General features: G+C 42.8%; 2 long non-coding RNA genes across 4 annotated transcripts in view; one reads left to right on the top strand and one right to left on the bottom strand.

The window, feature by feature from the left end:
* Nucleotides 1–11,623: 11,623 nt before the first annotated feature.
* ENTPD4-DT (ENTPD4 divergent transcript) overlaps nucleotides 11,624–18,588 on the bottom strand; it is a 37,125-nt gene continuing 30,160 nt past the window's right edge. For 2 of the 3 annotated variants that reach the window (NR_186531.1, NR_186533.1), the window contains 2 exons: nucleotides 14,154–14,347; nucleotides 11,624–12,950 (listed from right to left, as the gene is read on the bottom strand). This is a non-coding gene — a long non-coding RNA (ENTPD4 divergent transcript). The remainder of the gene's footprint in view (nucleotides 12,951–14,153; nucleotides 14,348–18,588) is intronic. The other variant, NR_186532.1, reaches the window with a different exon arrangement.
* LOC105379327 (uncharacterized) lies at nucleotides 12,317–15,042 on the top strand. The gene is made up of 3 exons (NR_188142.1): nucleotides 12,317–12,715; nucleotides 13,191–13,357; nucleotides 14,183–15,042. It is a non-coding gene; the product is annotated as an uncharacterized LOC105379327 (long non-coding RNA).

The raw sequence follows: 18,588 nt of genomic DNA, 5'->3' as shown, positions 1-18,588 counted from the left end.
TAAGTGAATCTTGGAAGCTTTTTAAAAAAATACTTCCAAAGTTTGGGGAGTTATCTAATTTTGCAATAAAAGCTGCCACACAAGCCAGGCACAGTGGCTCACACCTGTAATCCCAACACTTTGGGAGGCCCAGGCAGGAGGATTGCTTGAGCTCAGAAGTTTGAGCCCAGCCTGGGCTACCGAGGGAGACTCCATCTCTACCAAAATCAAAAATAAATATTAGCTGGGAGTGGTGGTGCATGCCTGCGGTCCTAGCTACTTGGGAGGCTGAGATGAGAGGATCTCTTAAGCCTGGGAGGTCCATGCTGCAGTGAGCCATGATTGTGCCTCTGCACTCCAGCCTAGGTGACAGAGCAAGACCTTGTCTCAAACTTCAAAAAAATAAAAAACCGGCCACCCCTCCCAAATACAGTGCTGTTTATCTAAGTGATGGAGGAGAGAGTGGTAGTATATTTAAGATAACCTAAAACTAACTTTTTGAGAATTTTTTAAACTTTCCATAATCCTTAAAAAATAACAGTTTTCTTATTACAAATGTGGTAGACAAACATTGTGGAAATTTTAGAAAATGCAGATAAGAAAAAAGAACAAGCTAAAAGTCACTGATAATTTCGTTCCCAAGAGATAGGACTGTGAACGTACAATGCATCCTTCCAGTCTTTTATATTTTAAATTATTTTTGATTGAAAAAGAGATACACAAATACATGCCCCTTTTAAACAAAAGCAGGCATCATATACAAAACTAAATTACCCATTGACCACCTCCCACAGTTCCAAACCCTTCCCTGCTATTCTGGTGCCCAACCGCTCTTGGGAGTTTGAAGTGTTTCCTTCCAGAATTTCATATGCATTCATGTATATATATGTATACACATATATAATTTCACATATAAATAATATATATAAGGATTTTTGTGTGTTGAATAACATTCCATTATATGGATATACCATATTTTATTTGACCTCTTAAGCTTTTAGCGGACAGTTAATATCATTAACAACTTTTCACTACTACAAACAACACTGCAGTAAACGTCTGTGTTTTCCCTTTCTCTATTCTAAATTCCTGTGAGAGGAAATTGTGGGTCTGAGGTATGCCCAAATTGTCCTCGCCATTTTAAATATGAAAACAGAGTATGAACGTTCCTGTTCCCCTGCGATCTTGACAACCCTTCACCTACCAGATCTTTCAAGGTAGCCAGCTGAGTAAGTGTAAACAGTATCTCGCCATTGTTTTCATTGGTATTTGCCTGATAAAAAATGTGTTTGAGCATCTTCTTATGTGTTTGTGGCCATGTGTATTTCCCCTTTTGTGAATTGCCTATGCATATCCACAGATCATTTTTCTTTCTTCTTCTTTTTTTTTTTTTTGAGACGGAGTCTCGATCCATTGCCCAGGGTGAAGTACAATGGTGAGATCTCCACTCATTGCAACCTCCGCCTCCCAGGTTCATGCAATTCTCGTGCCTCAGCCTCCCGAGTAGCTGGGATTACAGGTGCCCACCACTACGCCCAGCTAATTTTTGTATTTTTAGTAGAGACAGGGTTTCACCATGTTGGTCAGGCTAGTCTTGAACTCCTTACCTCAGGTGATCCACCAGCCTCGGCCTCCCAAAGTGCTGGGATTACTGGTGTAAGCCACTGTGCCCATCCCTTAGATCATTTTTCTAAAGGGCTTTTTTAAAAATTCATCTGTTTTACTCATTCTTTGAAACATACATTGCAAAGTTTTCTCCCAGCCCTCAGCTTGTCTTTAACATTGGGGTATCTTATTGTATGGTTCCTTTTTTACTATTTGGATGACATTTATTCACTGACCTAATTAAAATGTTCAGCCTTTTACTGCATGAGTTTTATTTTCTGTGACTTATTTAAGATCTCCATTTACTTGGGATCATAGTATTTTCTTATACATTTTTAGCTAACAATTTGAAATTTTTATATTGAAGGGCTAGGTTTTTAATTCATCTGTAGTATAATTTTGTGTACCACATAAGGTAGCGACTTAGTTTTATTTATTTTGTGTACACAGAGTTGATTCTGTCAATACCACTTATTTATTTATTTATTTATTTATTTATTTTTATTTTTATTTTTTTGGAGACGGAGTCTCAATCTGTTGCCCAGGCTGGAGTGTAATGGCGTGATCTCGGCTCACTGCAACCTCCGCCTCCCGGGCTCAAGTGATGATCCTGCCTCAGCCTCCCGAGTAGCTGGGATTACAGGCGCCTGCCACCATGCCAGACTAATTTTTGTATTTTTAGTAGAGATGGGGTTTCACCATGTTGGCCAGGCTGGTCTTGAACCCCCGACCTCAGGTAATCCACCCGCCTCAGTCTCCCAAAGTGCTGGGATTACAGGCATGAGCCACCACACCCGGCCAATACCATTTATTAAATAGTCCATATTCCCTCACTGATTCGAAACGTTGCCTGCATCACATTCCATTTTTGTAGTGTTGTTTCTGGATTTTTTTTTTTGGAATAATGTTTTATTGACCTAATTCTATTCTAATATTACAACAAAATGGGGCTAATTTAACTGCCCTACAGCACGAAAATGTGTGTGTGTGTTTACATCCTGCTTCTGTCTTATAACCTGCTATTTTTACTGAAAAACTGCAACAGGAGAATAGAGTGATTCTGGTAGTCACACAATGGAATATTACATAGCAATGAAAAGAAACCAAATCTTAGTATATCAACATGGATATATTTCCCAAGTAAAGAATTGAGTGTAAAAAACAAATTGTGTTAAAATGTCAGGGTGCCATTTACATACTGGTTTAAAATCTGTAAGGCAATATTTCACACAGTTTAGAAATATATATGCGGGCTGGGCACAGTGGCTCATGCCTGTAATCCCAGCACTTTGGGAGGCTGAGGTGGGCGGATCACTTGAGAAGTTTGAGACTAGCCCGGGCAACATGGTAAAAACCCCCGTCTCTACTAAAAACACAAAAATTAGCTGGGTGTGGTGGCGCACGCCTGTAGTCCCACCTAGTTGGGAGGGTGAGGCAGGAGAATCGCTTGAACCCAGGAGGCAGAGGTTGCAGTGAGCCAAGATCATGCCACTGCACTCCAACCTGCACAACAGAGTGAGAATCTGTCTCAAAAGAAAAAACGAAAGAAATATGCAAAAAAAAAAAAAAAAAAAAACCTAAAAGAAAATTCATGCAAATGAGAGAAACCAAAGTCAGAATTAGAGGTAGATTTACCATGAAGCATATGAAGCTTAAGCTCAGACCCCTTACATACATGATCCCTTTCAAGGTCCTATACTTAAATTTGATTTCTTAATTTTTTTTTTTTTTTGAGACAGAATCTCACTCTGTCACCCAAGCTGGAGCATAGTGGCATGATCTCAGCTCACTGCAACCTCTGCCTCCCAAGTTCAAACAATTCTCCTGCCTCAGCCTCCCGAGTAGTTTTTTTTTTTTTCTTTTTTTTGTATTTTTTTTTAGTAGAGATGGGGTTTCACCATGTTGGTCAGGATGGTCTTGATCTCTTGACCTCGTGATCCGCCTGCCTCGGCCTCCCAAAGTACTGGGATTAGAGGCATGAGCCACCGCACCTGGTCTTTGATTTCTTAATTTTAAACTTTTTTTTTTTTTTTTCTTAAAAAAAAAGGCTCTCCTCTTGAAAACTGTATTGGTTTCAGGCCTATCTGTAGGTGGGGGATGGGGAGGACAGGGGAGGGAAATAGGGAAGAGAAGCGGAGAAGAAAACAGAGCCTGTTCCAAAAGACTGAGAGTTTCTCAATACCATGGTGTTATTGGCCAGCTCTTGGGCACCTGTGCCTGGAACTTATGTTTATTGGAAACCAGAGGGTGGGATCGCAATTGTATTGGACTTGATTCACAGTTCAGTACCTTGCACAGTGCCAGGTCTAGAGGAGCTGGAACAGAAGCCATCTGATAGTGATCAGTTCCCAGGAATGCCACCAGCTGCCATACTGCACGCCTCAACCAATTCTTCCAGCACTAGTGGGCCTTTACACTGTCACAGAGCCCACAAAACCCAATGCTTGTCTAGAGAAGTTCCCCAGGCCAAAAGCTGAGTGCTTAGGGGGTAGATCAAGGAGAAACCAAGGCACTCGGGAGCCCCAAATTTGCTTCAGTTCTTTAACATTCTAGACTTAGTCTCAATTTCTTTTACTGAAAGTGTACACCATTTTAAAAAATCAAATAAAACAACATCAAATAAATGACAGTCATTCCAACAACATGAACATCGTTCCGTTAAATATTCCTCCATGACATTTTTAATACTGCACAGTACTACAGTTTATGGACATGGCAAAATTTATGGAACCCATCAATACTCTTAGACATTTAGATTAGTTCCAGTTTCCACTCATTAAAAGCGATACTGTAGCAAGCATTCTTACAGCTAAACCCTGACACACAGCCCTAATTATTTCTTTGGAAAAACATTTCCCATAAGTGGACTTCATTTGTGAAAGAGTCTGAATATTTTCTGTTTCTGAGCTATGTTGCCAAATGTACCTCCAAAAAGATTGCGTCAATTCACACATACACATCAGTACATGACAGCGTCTGCTTCCTCAAACTGAAGCCAAGACTAGATGCTTATATTAAACAAAAATACATTGTCCATTGTAGAGACCGAAGATAGTCTCTCATAGCTTTAATTTCTCATCAGTAACAAGGCTGAATTGCTTATGTTCACTGAATATTTGCATTTCTTTTTTTTTTTTTTTTTTTTTTTTTTTTTGAGATGCAGTCTCGCTCTGTCACCCAGGCCAGAGTGCAGTGTGCAGTGGCACGACCCCGGATCACTACAATCTCCACCTCCCAGGCTCAAGCGATTCTCATGCCTCAGCTTCCCTAGTAGCTGGGATTACAGGCAAGCACCACCACGCCCGGCCAATTTTTGTATTTTTAGTAGAGACGGGGTTTCACCATGTTGGCCAGGCTGGTCTCAAACTCCTGGCCTCAAGTGATCCGCCCGCCTGGGCCTCCCAAAGTCCTGGGATTATAGGCAACACTTGTATTTCTTCTTGGTTGATTTACTATTTACCTGGTTTGCTCTGTCTTCTACTGAGGCATTCCTCTTTCTCTTATGATTACTAAGAGCCTCTTATCTATTATATTAACCCTTTTCCCTGTATGTTGGTAATATTAATATTTTCCTTTCTACTTTGCCAGTTGACTTCACATTTATTGTGTTTTTTACATACAGACATTTTTTGGTTAAAAATATCAATGTTTTTCATTTCAGATTCTGTCTTCAGTGTTTTTTTTTAGTACCTTTTCCCCAAAGATTACATAAATGTTCACCTGCCCTTTTCCTCAATATTTCCATGGTTTTATTTTTGAGATTTATTCTAGTCTAAAGGCTAAAGTGGGCCTCTACTTCTTTTTTTTATCCAAAAAGTTCACCATTTCATAAATAAGCCATCTTTTTTCTTAGTGATTTTAAACGAGACTTTTTTTTTTTTTTTTTTTACTTCTGAGACAGGATTTTGCTCTGTTGCCCAGGCTGGAGTCAGCGGCGTGGTCACTGCTCACGGCAGCTTTGACCTCCAGGTGCAAGCAATCCTCTCCTACCTTAGTCTCCCAAGTAGCTGGAATTACAGGCGCATGCCAACACACCTGGCTAATTCTTGTAATTTTTGTAGAGATAGAGTTTTGCTATGTTACCCAAGCTGGTCTCAAACTCAAGAGCTCAAGCAATCCTCCTGCCTTGGCTTCCCAAGGTGCTAAGATTAGAGGCATGAGCCACCACGCCCAGCAGAGACTTTCAATTTTATACTGCACTGAGTCTGTTTGTGGGCTTTCCTCTTCTGTTTTAATTGATGTATATTCTTTTGCCAGCATTATGTTAATTATTGGAATTATGATATATATCGTTTCTGGTATTATGGAAAGTCCTCATTATTTCTTTTCTGGTTTTTTGTTTGTTTGGTTGTTTGGTTGGTTTCTACATTAGTTTGGTTGTACCTGCATGTTCATTCTTCCAGAATCATTCTAGCAATTCTACTTTTTTCTTTACTTGTAATATTATGAGCATTTTCATATAATTAATAATTTTTCTTTTAGCCAGGATCACTTGAACCCAGGAGTTCAAGGCTGCAGTGAGCTATGATGGAGCCACTGCACTCCAGCCTGGGCAAGAGAGCAAAACCCTGTCTCTAAAAATAAATAAATAAATTTTTAAAAAACAAAAACAAGTTTAAAATTTTTTTCTTAAACTCAAACTTGGTCAGGCCAAACTTGACCAGAAGATGATGGTTGGAGAAAAAAGTATAAGGAAATACATACCGAACTAGGTACAATATTAATGGACTCTTGCTCTAGCCATTTGACAAACGGCCAGACCTGAAACTCCTCCAGTGGATTCCAAAGCCCTACCACCCAAGGCACAAATTAGAACCTTCTAAGTGAAAGGCATGGATGAGAGCTAACGAAAATATGAGTAAAGGTGAAACAAAACACAGGATCTGAAATTAAGAGCAACACAAAGACACATGAAATTAAAATGCCCGAAGGAACCTAGAAGAATTATTCATGGTTTTTGTGCACTTTTACTCTTTTTTCACTTTTGTAAACAAACATAAATTCTAAATGTTTCTAAGAAGCCACAGACATGTTTTAGTATATCCTCTAAAATAGGTCTCATTTATGGTGTACAGAACTTGTATTTCAGAGAATTACAGAATACCAGATTCTTAGAGTTCATCTCCCTCCCAGTGCAGGAATCCCCCTCCAGCAGTTCTCCTGGGGGTGGCCATCCAGCCTCTGCCTGGCTACTGCCTTAGGTGACCCCTGACACTATGTCATTGAATTCTTTTGTGTTTAAATAGCTCTAATTATTAGAAAGTTTTTGCTAGTTTAGAAAGTCAGATTCTCCCTCCCAGTATCCCACCTCCACCTGCCCCTGACTTTAGCCCTGATTGTGCCTTTAGAATCATCAGAGGCCTTCACTGATTTGAGGGTGGCTCTTATCTTCCCTGTTCAGTTTTATCTTTCAAAGGCTTATTGCTCCTGATTCCTTATTTTCTTAGGACATAGTTCTAGACCTCTCAAGCTCTGGTGTCTCCTATGGAAACCTTGCAAAATAGCCAATATTTATTTTAAAGGTGAAACTCAGAAGTTGACATCATTCTCCAGATTCCATCTGAGCTGTGAAGTAAATTGAGAGAATCTCATCCCTTACTTTGCATTTTTTAAATGAATGCTTCTAAGGTTACATTCCTCTCAGAGACGAAAGACTTGGGCTTTAGCTACTATTTGGTCTTGTCAACAAAACAGCTTTCGCTTTTTCACATAAACTAGAGACCAAATTTCATAGGTAAAAATGAACTCCTGGCCGGCTGCAGTGGCTCACGCCTGTAATCCCAACACTTTGGGAGGCCGAGGCAGGTGGATCACTGAGGTCAGGAGTTTGAAACCAGCCTGGCCAACATGGTGAAACCCCGTCACTACTAACAACACAAAAAAATTAGCTGGGTGTGGTCACGGGTGCCTGTAATCCCAAATCCCAGCTACTTTTTGTTTGTTTGTTTGTTTGTTTTGAGATGGGGTCTGGCTCTGTTGCCCATGCTGGAGTGCAGTGATGTGATCTCAGCTCACTGCAACCTCCACCTCCCGGGCTTAACTGATTCTCCTGCCTCAGCCTCCAGAGTAGCTGAGATTACAGGGGCTTGCCACCATGCCTGGCTAATTTTTGTATTTTCAGTAGAGACGAGGTTTCACCATGTTGGCCAGGCTGGTCTCGAGCTCCTGACCTCAAGTGATCCACCCACCTCAGCTTCCCAAAGTGCTGGGATTACAGGCGTGAGCCACAGGTTTCAGTGGGAGAAGTCTTGAAAGCCAAGATAGAAAAAGAAAGCCCCTTCGATGTAAAAGTGAACCATCAGGGTTGTGTAATTTTGAGTGCTGTGAAAGTTTCCATGCCTAGGGAAGGCGGGTGGCTGCCCATCAAGAAAAAACCCATGGATGTGTCCTCTTAGGGTGTCTTGTTCCAGCCACCAGTCACTGCACTGGCAGACAGCATGTGATAATCGTGCCTCAGCCACTTGTCAGTCTTGCTTCCTGTTTCTCAGGATTCGTTGTGAGCTGTGAGAGCTTAAACTGCTTAAATTTCTGTCTTGTGTATGCCAATGTGCATATCCAGCCATGCAAATTGGAAGTTAACACTCAAGATCCCAGTTACTCTGCGCCTAGTATCCTCGGGTCCTGGAGAGCTTTAGCCAGGGCCCTCCTGGCAGCTTCTTTCTAGTCCACAGCACAGAGAGCCTAACCCCTGGGGGCTCCTCCCTACCCAACAAAGCAAATGCTGTCAGCAGCCAGGCTGGTTGTGTACATGGGCAGGAGGCTGTGGTGAGTCCAGCGTTAGACCTAGAGGCCTGAGTAGACCACAGCAGAGGGGGCAGATTAAGAAATTGGAAATCGCAGCCTCCCTAGCTGCATCTGATCTGCCCTCTCCTGCTGCCTCCAGACTGGAAAGATCAGGAATATTAGCAAATCAGCCTTGCTTGAAATCCAGAAGGAGGCTTACTTATAGAGCTATGCATCTCAATATCGTTGTTGCTGTTGTTGTTGTCACCCTCAATCCCTGGCATAGATCACAGCGAGCTGTGTTAGGAATTAAACTCTGGCTTTGGTGGAAGGGAGGAGGGGATTGGGGTGGGTGGAAGCTCATGGAGCTTCTATTGGCAGGAGAGGAGCATGGGAGGCCTAAGAGTGCCAGGATCTTCCCCAGCCACATAGAAGTTTCTTCAACAAGTTCATTGTCATTGGGCCCAGCCCCCTTCACCTTTTGGGGAGGATTTGTTTTCTATAATCTCTCTTTTAGAATGTAAAAATCATTTTGGAATTGATTGCCTATATCTCCTTACACTGCTATACTTCCTGGTAAATTCAGTCACAGAAGAAATACAAAATGGCCTGCTTTGTCTTTTGCCCACAAATAAGGCAGCAAGAAGGTGTTGGAGAGGTGCTTTCTCTCCCTTTCTTTGGTTCATGCAGCTGGAAAGAAGGTCTCCTTTTGCAAAGTGTGCAGTGGAGCACAAGGCCAGGGTTCTAAAACTAGATGGGTGGGGTGGGAAGGGTGTCAGCACCCTGGATCCTGCCTGGGACCCAGGCTCAGCTGGGTGGGCCTCAGCCCATGACTCTCCAATGCAAAGATGTGAGTGGGGAGAAGAGATCTGCTCTGGGCATCTTACCTCTCTTTCCTCCCTGAACTCCAGGAAGCCCTGGGCAGGGGGCAGAGTTGTGAACCAGTCGCACTCCAAGCCCCCTTCCCTTCCCACCTCAGCCTTCTCTATGGCTTGAGAGCACTGCTGAGCAGTTACCTTACTGTCAGGTAACTTTTCGCCTGCACCTGTCTCACCTCTCAAAACTCAGCTGCATCTCTCATGGCTCACCCTGTGGCTCAAGATGAAAAACAACCATTCTTGAATGAATGAATGCATTTATCATGCTCACTCCACAAGTTCCTTAGGAGAAGCTGGGCCCTTAAGGGATGTTTCCCCAAACTAACTGAAACTAGCAAAGCTTTTTCGAATGCTGCAGTAGAGTTGGGTGTGTCTTTCTACTCTACTCTGAATCTTTACACTCTGGATTGGAATATCCCTGCAAAAGGCATTCCTAAACTACCCAGTGGTACAATATGTCTCCCCTCCTTTTTTTTATTTTAACATTTTAGCATGGAAAAATGTAGCCAAATACAAGAGAAGAGAGAGCCTGCATATATTCACCACTCAGTTCCAACAAACTCAACTCGTGGCTGATTAGATATCCCTAGTACTTCATTCATTCATTACTGCTCCCCACAAAAGAACTATTTTGAAGCAAACAAAACAGGTCATGTCACTTTATCCTTAAATCTACAGTGTGCATCTCCAAAAGATAGTAACTTTAGTTTTAAATCCTCCATGCCAGCATCTTTGAGACAAAGACTCGAGGCTGCTGAGCTCCTTTGAGATGACGGTCAGCCCTCTATACAACATCATTCCACAGGAACACCAAAATCTTTCCTCCTGCCTACCCACCCTACAGCTCCACTCCTCCCCACATTTCCCAGTACCTTGCTCTCAGGGGCATTGGCTACTTAAGAGAGGCATAAACTCTGAAGCCAGACTGATGTAAACAGAATCTGAGCTCCACCCCTTCCTAGGTCTGTGACCTTGAGTAAGATGCTTCACCTCTCCATGCTTCAGTGTCCTCATCTAAAAGCTAAATTAATTAATAGTGCTTCCTCATTGGGTTGCCATAGGATTAAAATACGTTGAAATCATGTGAAGCAGTGGAACATCCAGACAATGGAATATTATCTGGTGCCAAAACTAAATGAGCTATCGAGCCACGAAAAGGCATGAAAGAAACTGAAATGCATATAATTAGGTGAAAGAAGCCAATCTGCAAAGGCTACATACTGTATGATCCCAACTATATGACATTCCAGAAAAGGCAAAACTCTGAAGACAAACAAAAAGATCAGTGGTTGTCAGGGGTTAGGACGGAGGGAGGGATGAAGAGGTGAATCTGGGAGGATTTTTAGGGCACTGAAACTACTCTGTGTGATACGATCAGGGTGGGTACCTGTCGTTATGTGTTTGTCCAATCCCATTGAACATGTACGCCTAGGGTGAACTCTAATGTAAACTATGGGTGATGATGTGTTGATAAAGGTTCATTGATTGTAACAAATGCACCACTCTGGAGGGGACTGTTGAAAGTTTGGGAGACTATGCCTGTGCAGGAGTCAGGAGTGAATAGAAACCTTATGCTTTCTGCTCAATTTTGCTGTGAACCTAAAACTGCTCTTAAAAAATAAAGTATATTTAAAATATAATTACATGAGGCACCTGGAACAGTACCTGGCACATAGGAAGTACCATGTAAGTGGTGTTTAAAATTGTTATTCTTTGCTTAATATATACACCATTTCTACCAATACCACTAAGTCTCTGAATTAAGTAACAAACAATGATAACCCCTCACATGTGCATAGTATAGTGGATATTTCTCAAAGCACATTTGTGCACAGTGTCAGGGGCAGTCTGGACATAATCTATGCATGGGACAGCCCCAGGGGATTCAGAAGCAGGACAGGAGGAATCAAAAGATTTAGCTACAATGAGCCCTGTGTATGATGGGGAAAATTGAGAGCCAAAACAAAGGTCTAACGATAGGACATTGGTTGAATAAGATATGGCACATCTGTATGTTGCTGTCATCATAATTAAGGCAAGAGAACGCTTAATGATATAAAAATTACTTTGGTAGGCCGAGGCGGGTGGCTCGCCTGACGTCAGGAGTTCGAGACCAGCCTGGCCAACATGGTGAAACCCTGTCTCTACTAAAAATACAAAAATTAGCCGGGTGTGGTGGCACACACCTGTAATCCCAGCTGCTCGGGGGGCTGAGGCAGGAGAATTGCTTGAATCCGGGAGACGGAGGTGGCAGTGAGCTGAGACTGTGCCAATGCACTCCAGCCTTGGCAACAGAGTGAGACCCCATCTCAAAAAAAAAATTGTTCTTACTGAGTTATGTGAAAAAGGAAAGTTACAAAAAAGTAAGTAAAGTATGAATCTACTGAGCTTTTTTTTCCTTTCGGTATATTATGCTTGTTAAAGAGACCAGAAAGATATTTATCAGAATAATATTCATATTTATTATTTCTCAATGGAGCAATAAGGAGTCATTTTTCCTTTCTTTTTTTGTGTCTGAAATTTCTATGCAATAACACATAATAAACATGGATTATTACTTTTAAAACAAGGGAAGCTTATTGTTTAAAAATGGAACACATAATTGTATATGCAATGTGATTCAGTTACATAAAAGATACATAAAATAGGAAAATGTTCATGGGAGAAATGTGAGTGACGTTTTTCTTTATATTTTTCAGGTTTTTACAAATGTGCTGCTCTGAGAGCCGTAAGTTGTTTTTATGAAGGTGGTTCAGATAGGGAAACTGAGGCATGGCAGGTTGGCAGGAAGGCTTTCTGGCTCCAAACACACATCTCTGCCTGCCCTGCCCTGCAAGAACCTGAGCAGATGCGGTCGATCATCCCCAGAGATGCCCTGCCTCCAGGTTCATTGCTGACTGTGGTTTAAGGCTCAAGGCGGTGACCAGCACGTAACAACACAATCTGCCTCTGCAGACTGCCAGGCAGCTGCATCTCCCAGCTCCAGAGGCCAGCTGTTAGGGAGGAGCCCCAGAGGCAGACGTGTTCTTAAGCGATAGCAGCCCACCCAGGCCTAATCTCTTGGGCCTCCCTGATCTACTTCCCTGAAAAGGGTGTCTGGAACAAAATAAAACAGAAACAAAAACAGAGGTGAGTGGGAAAGCAAAGGGAAATGAGAATGGAGAAAAGTATTTTCTAGATAAAGCAGTTGGATTTGATGGGTGAGCCAGGAGACCAGCAGCAGGGAGGGTGGGTGGTCCAATGGGCAGAGTTATGGCTAGGAAGTGAAGAGTCAAGAGCCCCTGTTTCACCCACAGTCCATGACTGTAGGATCCAAGGCATGACCCCTTCCCACAGCAGTGCCCCTTTAAGAGAGGGAAATGTGATCAAAAGGGTAAGAAGGGTCCCTTGCTCCTGGAGGGGAACTGCTGGCCCGTCTGCCTGATAGCCACTGGAGGCAGGCCTTGGTTAGGCCTTCCCACTGACACCCAGTGGGACGTGATGGCAGAGCAGTTGGTGCTTTTGTCAACATGCTGCTTCCAGATCTTCAGGTAAGGAAATAGCCCCCGTTTTCAGTGCCCAGAGCAAGGCTTCAGGCCAGATCAGCAGCCCCCATCCTGTCTCTGTGTATGGGAACAGAGCCAGGCTTGGACTTGGGTGCAGTTGGCTGTGAGTAGCTCGATGGCCCATGACTGGCCCTTCTACAGACCCACACAGCACAGGACAGTCACAGAGCTGTGTCCACTGACCTCGGAGCGAAATGGACTTTGGGGATCTTTGTTTTTCCTAGGTGGAATAGAACAAAAAATGTATCAGTGGTTTATTGCCATGGAAATTTTACATACAACCCTGGCAGCTCTAAACATTTCCCAAGCCAGTCTGAAGGTAGTTTCTTACCCTTTGGACTTGGGAAGTCTCTAGCAGTGATTTCAAGGTGAGAATATGCAATGAGAGCAACACTGAAAATTTGAAGAGTAGAAGAGAATAATTCGTCCCTATTCCCTATCTTCCTGACTTTTTTTGTAGGTTACTATTAAAATCCCACCAAACCCTGCCACTGGCGTCCGTCGGGCTTTGTGGATTGATTCAGATTTAAGGTGCGCCCCTCTAGGCCTTAGCACTGGAGGTGGAAAGAGCAGAAGAGTAAAACTTGGTCTTGGGGTCCCCAAATTCAGAGGGAGTGACCGCAACAGGTAAGGTGACAGATTCTAAACCAAATTATGTGATACAGATCATGAATGGTTTGCTTATTCCAAATTAGCACCAACCCTAAACAAAACAGATAAACTGAATCCTAAAATGTACCCAGTATGTTCACACTGGCCTAGGCTGATAATAAATGTTCTGCAGGAGTGGTCTTCCGTCTAAGAAAACAGGAACCATAGGGTGGCCACCCCATACCATGCCTGGGCATTCTGGGAGTACATTAATGTCAACCTATACACGATAGCACCCGGGCCTTTTAAAAAATGTATCTGGCAGTATTTACATATATCTTGCACAGTGGATAATAGAGAGGAGAGAAGATATTTACTGGGACCCAAGATTAACTTCAGTGGCATCGAAGCTGCTTCTAGCAGGGTACAACTGCAGGCTGCAGATTAACCCAAGGATCCACCCCTAATTTGCAGAGTGTATTCTCTTAATTGACTTAAGGTTTCTTTCTCACATTTTCTACTCTCCCATTACTGATGCCTGCAAATGTTCTTCCAATTCCAAGTCAGCGTTACTCAACTAAAACTCATAATTTATATTCTATGTTTTCTATTTACATTTGTATTCTGCATATGTTGTCATTCCAGATGTGTAGCAGCTGATACTTCTTTTAGTTTGTTTGTGTTTGTTTTTGGAGACGGGATCTCACTCTGTCACCTATGTTAGAGTGAGTGGCGCAATCATGGCTCACTGCAACCTCCACCTCCCGAGCTCAAGTGATCCTCCCACCTCAGCCTCCCAAGTAGCTGAGACTATACGTGCACGTCACCATACCTGACTAATTTTTTTAAAATTTGTTGTAGAGACAGAGTCTCACTCTGTTGCCCAGGCTGGTCTTGAACTCCGTGACTCAATTGATCCTCCTGCCTCATCCTCCCAAAGTTCTGGGATTATAGGTGTGAGCCACTGCGCCCGGCCAAGATACTTCTTTAAGTCCCACCATGATGCCTCAGCAAAGCTCGGCGGTCCTGTCATCAGCAAAAGAAGGGTAAACACCATTCTCAGGATCTACTGATTGTACTCTAACATTTAACCAACTATTAAATGAAGTCTGGTGAAAATTTTCATAGGCATATTGGATCAATACCTAGTGATAGCCATGATTTGTACCTTAGCCTGTGTCAATTAGATTTTTGGAATACATTGTTCATACCCATGTTCATGGGCACAAAGTTTACAATCAAAACAGTCATTATTATAAATAGTAATTTGTGTAGTCAGTGGTAATTTCAACAAAATAATATGTATAGTAAACATCGTTTTCAAGAACAAAAATTACCCAAAGAGCACAAATACATTCAAGAAATATTTTGAGGCTGAAACCCACATGCTAACTCTTTTTGGGAGAATAATGAGAAAAACTTTCTTTCCATCTACACACCAGGTCCCATAGCTAATAGTTGATAAGTTTGCCTTGTTACAAAACTTAGAATGATAAGTGATATATATATATAATGCATATGAAGTCGATAAATTATATTATGTGCCCAAAAGATATATATATTTCTATGTATACATCTCTACTCAAGACAGAAATATATGACTGAATAATTCTTCAACAGAATGGAATTGAACACAAAGGTGATACCAATTAATTTATGAATTTTTTCCACTTTGCTAAGAATATTAGTGTTTGTTGCATGTATTAAAGTATATTTCCTTCGCTGATACATTGAATATTAGTAGACGTTTGGTATAGAGATTTTAAATTTCTTACTTTCAAATACTGTACATGAACCAAACTTTCATATTTCCAATAAAAGGTAGGCTTGCAGGCCGGACAAGGTGGCTCACACCTGTAATCCCAGAACTTTGGGAGGCCGAGGTGGGAGGATCACCTGAGGTCACGAGTTCAAGACCAGCCTGGCCAACATGGTGAAACCCCATCTCTACTAAAAATACAAAAAATTAGCCGGGCGTTGGCACTCGCCTGTAGGCCCAGCCACTCGGAAGGTTGAGGCAGGAGAATTGCTTGAACCCAGGAGGCAGAGGTTGCAGGGAGCCAAGATCACACCACTGCACTCCAGCCTGGGTGGCAGAGGGAGACTCTGTCTTAACAACAACAACAAAAAAATTAGGCTTGCAAAGCCTGACCTAGTATAGCTTTGGCTTTAATGAGTAACAAGATACATTTTAATTCAAATACCCAAGCGCCAGCCTAAGAACAATCATGGCTTCTGCTTATAGTGAATTACTGGACGTTATTTACATACAAAAGGATACATTTAAGCGCTTTAAATAGTTTAATACCCTTGGCAGGTAACTAGTACTTATATTGGTTTCTTATGGCTACCCTAACAAATTAGCACAAATTGGGGGCTTAAAATAACAAACTGATTCTCTTACTGGAGTTCTGGAGGCAGGAAGTCTGAAATCAGTTTCACTGAGCAGAAATCAACCACCCAGATGATTGCTTCCTGGGACTCCAGGGGAGAGTGTTTCCTTTTTCTCCTAGTTCCCGGAGCCACCTGGACTCCAGCCATGACTGCCATCACTGCAACCTCTTGCTTTCATTCTCACACCTCTTACTTCCTCCTTCACCTTCTTGCCTCCCTCTTAAAAAGACCCTTGTGATTACCTTTAGAATCTACCCAAATAATCCAGGATAGTCCCCCATCTCAAGATTTTTAATTTAGTCACCCTTGCAAGTCCTTATTGCCATATAAAGTAACAGACACAGGTTCCAGGGATTAGCATGAGACCGTCTTTGGAGGGAGGCATTATTCAGCCTGCCCCAGTGCTCATCTGATCTTATTTGCAGTGAGCACTGACAAAGGCCTTCTTTTAGAGATAGCACAAAGATAAACTTCAGAATGGGGAGCCCTGATCGTGAAAAAGGTGCTGGATGAACGGTGAGGAAGCCGGAGTTCGAGTCCTGCTCTTCCACGGCTGCAGGGTGTAGTGGTTAAGAATACATGGACCCGTTTTGAAATCCCAGATCTGACTTATTAACTGAGTGACCTTGGGCAAGTTGCTTTACTCATCTGCGGAGTAATGAAACCTCCCGGGCGGGGCTGTCCCTGAGATTATAAATGGATTACTCTATGCAAAATACCTGGCACAGTAAGTGTTTTAAGAAATGACTGCCCTTCCCACCCCCAATCTCAGGTATGAAGTCATGCTTGTCAGCTTTTTTTTAACTTTATAAAAGCTGACAGCATCTCACACATATAAATTTATGCTGTTATAAGAGACAAGGTGCATGTAGCCCACCCTCCTATTGTTTCCGTCCTAAGCTGGGAGGAGAACAGGGTTTTGGGTATAGAAAGCCCTGGGTCTACCAGATCTTTAGCAGGAGTGGAAAGTGAAAGTTCATATAGAGAATGACTTTGGGTATAAAGCGATGAAAGAGGGAAAAGAAGATGAAAGAAAAGAGATAATATGGGATCATGGGACTTAGGAAGACAGGAAGGGTCATTTGAGTTCACCTCTGTCACCTGCGTATCATACTGTGTCCGGAATTGGTTCCTGCCAGTGGGTTCGTGGTCTCACTGACTTCAAGAATGGAGCCGTGGACCTTCACGGTGAGTGTTACAGCTCTTAATGATGTCACAGACCCAAAGAGTGAGCAGTAGCAAGGTTTATTGTGAAGAGTGAAAGAATAAAGCTTCCACAGCGTGGAAGGGGACACGAGTGGGTTGCCACTGCTGGCTGGGGGGGTGGCCAACTTTTATTCTCTTATTTGTCCCCTCCCATGGTCCGTTTCTGTCCTATCAGAATGCCCTTTTCTCAATCCTCCCCGAGAGTGGCTACTTTTAGAATCCTTCTGATTGGTACATTTTACAATCCTTTTGCTAGCTACAGAGCACTGATTGGTGCGTTTTACAGAGTGCTGATTGGTGCATTTTACAATCCTCTTGCTGGCTACAGAGCACTGATTGGTGCATTTTACAATCCTCTTGTAAGGCAGAAAAGTTCTCCAAGTCCCCACTCGACCCAGGAAATCCAGCTGGCTTCACTTCTCAATACCGTACTATATGGATGTCTGTTCCTCAAGTGATAGAGAATGTCTTCACCCATAGAATTTAGGTAAAGATTTTTATCATGAACAGACCTTTTTTGGTGGAAAAAAAAATCATGAATTTCAATGTCCCTATCTGTGAAATGGACATTATGAAGTATATCCCATCTTGCTCCAATTACATACAAGTTGAGGTAATGTTTGTGAAGTGTTGTGGAAGTGGTTTTTATGCTGTGCACATTTAAGCTGGCACCATAACCAATTATTGTTATGAAACATGGCAAGGAGGGGCAGTGACATTCATCCAACTTCAAAACACACTCATCCTGGATCAGCAGGCCTGTGTCAGCCTGGAAGAAACAGGCAATACAGCTAAGAACAGGACTTTGCAACAATAGAATGCAAAAAACCACTCTAGATCTCCCCTCTGTGTAGCCAATACAAATGCCTCCTTCTTTAGGACACACTGCGAGCTGTGTGTGCATCTGTATCCAGCTGCCTTGAAGGAAAAACAGCCTGACAGATGAAGCCCATCCTCCAACCCCCAACCTCTCAGTGTCTCGTTTCAGTCACTCTTCCAAACCTGAACACTGTTTCCTGTTTCTAAGGAAAATGACTTAGAAATGGCTCATGGGAGCCTGGTCGCTCCCAGGGTACCCCGCAGCACCCTGGCAGTGAAAGGATCAGAATCAACCAATTTGCTTCTCCTTGAGTGCCCAAGAACCAAGGGAAATCCACACCAGGATGACGCCCTCAGGGCTTTGTCAGGCACAAAAGCATTGAGAAGTCAGTGAGTCTCTTCCGCAACTCGCAGGGCTCCCAGGGCTTGCTCTTGGGTGTGGAGTCCTATTCTTAGCAACACAACGATTTTCTCCTATGGGCCAAATCTCGGTTTGGTTTTCTTTTCTGGCTTTGCTCCAGTTACTTTCTGGGACAGTCTTAATCCCGGGGCCTCAGTTTCTCCACTTTCCCGTTAAGAGGGTTATGCTCCCTTGATCACAGGCAAGTATGATTTGTATACGTACAATCTTCTAGAACAACCCCCTCATTTTGCAGACAGGGAAACTGAGATCCGGAGAAGGGCAGTGGCTTGGCATCGCTCACACAGGGGATGTGTGCGAAGCTAAGTCTCTGACTCCAGCTCTGTAGCCATCAAATGCAAATCAAATCATCTCAGCACTGTCTGGCTTCTTCCCTCACTGTTCTATGGGTGTTTTTCTTCTCTCCTCAGCCAGCTCCTCAGCTCCT

Source organism: Homo sapiens, chromosome 8 (assembly GCF_000001405.40).
Source record: "Homo sapiens chromosome 8, GRCh38.p14 Primary Assembly".
In the NCBI taxonomy this organism is placed as follows: domain Eukaryota; kingdom Metazoa; phylum Chordata; class Mammalia; order Primates; family Hominidae; genus Homo; species Homo sapiens.
Note: the sequence above shows the minus strand (reverse complement) of the source record. Positions and strands in the feature narration are given on the sequence as shown.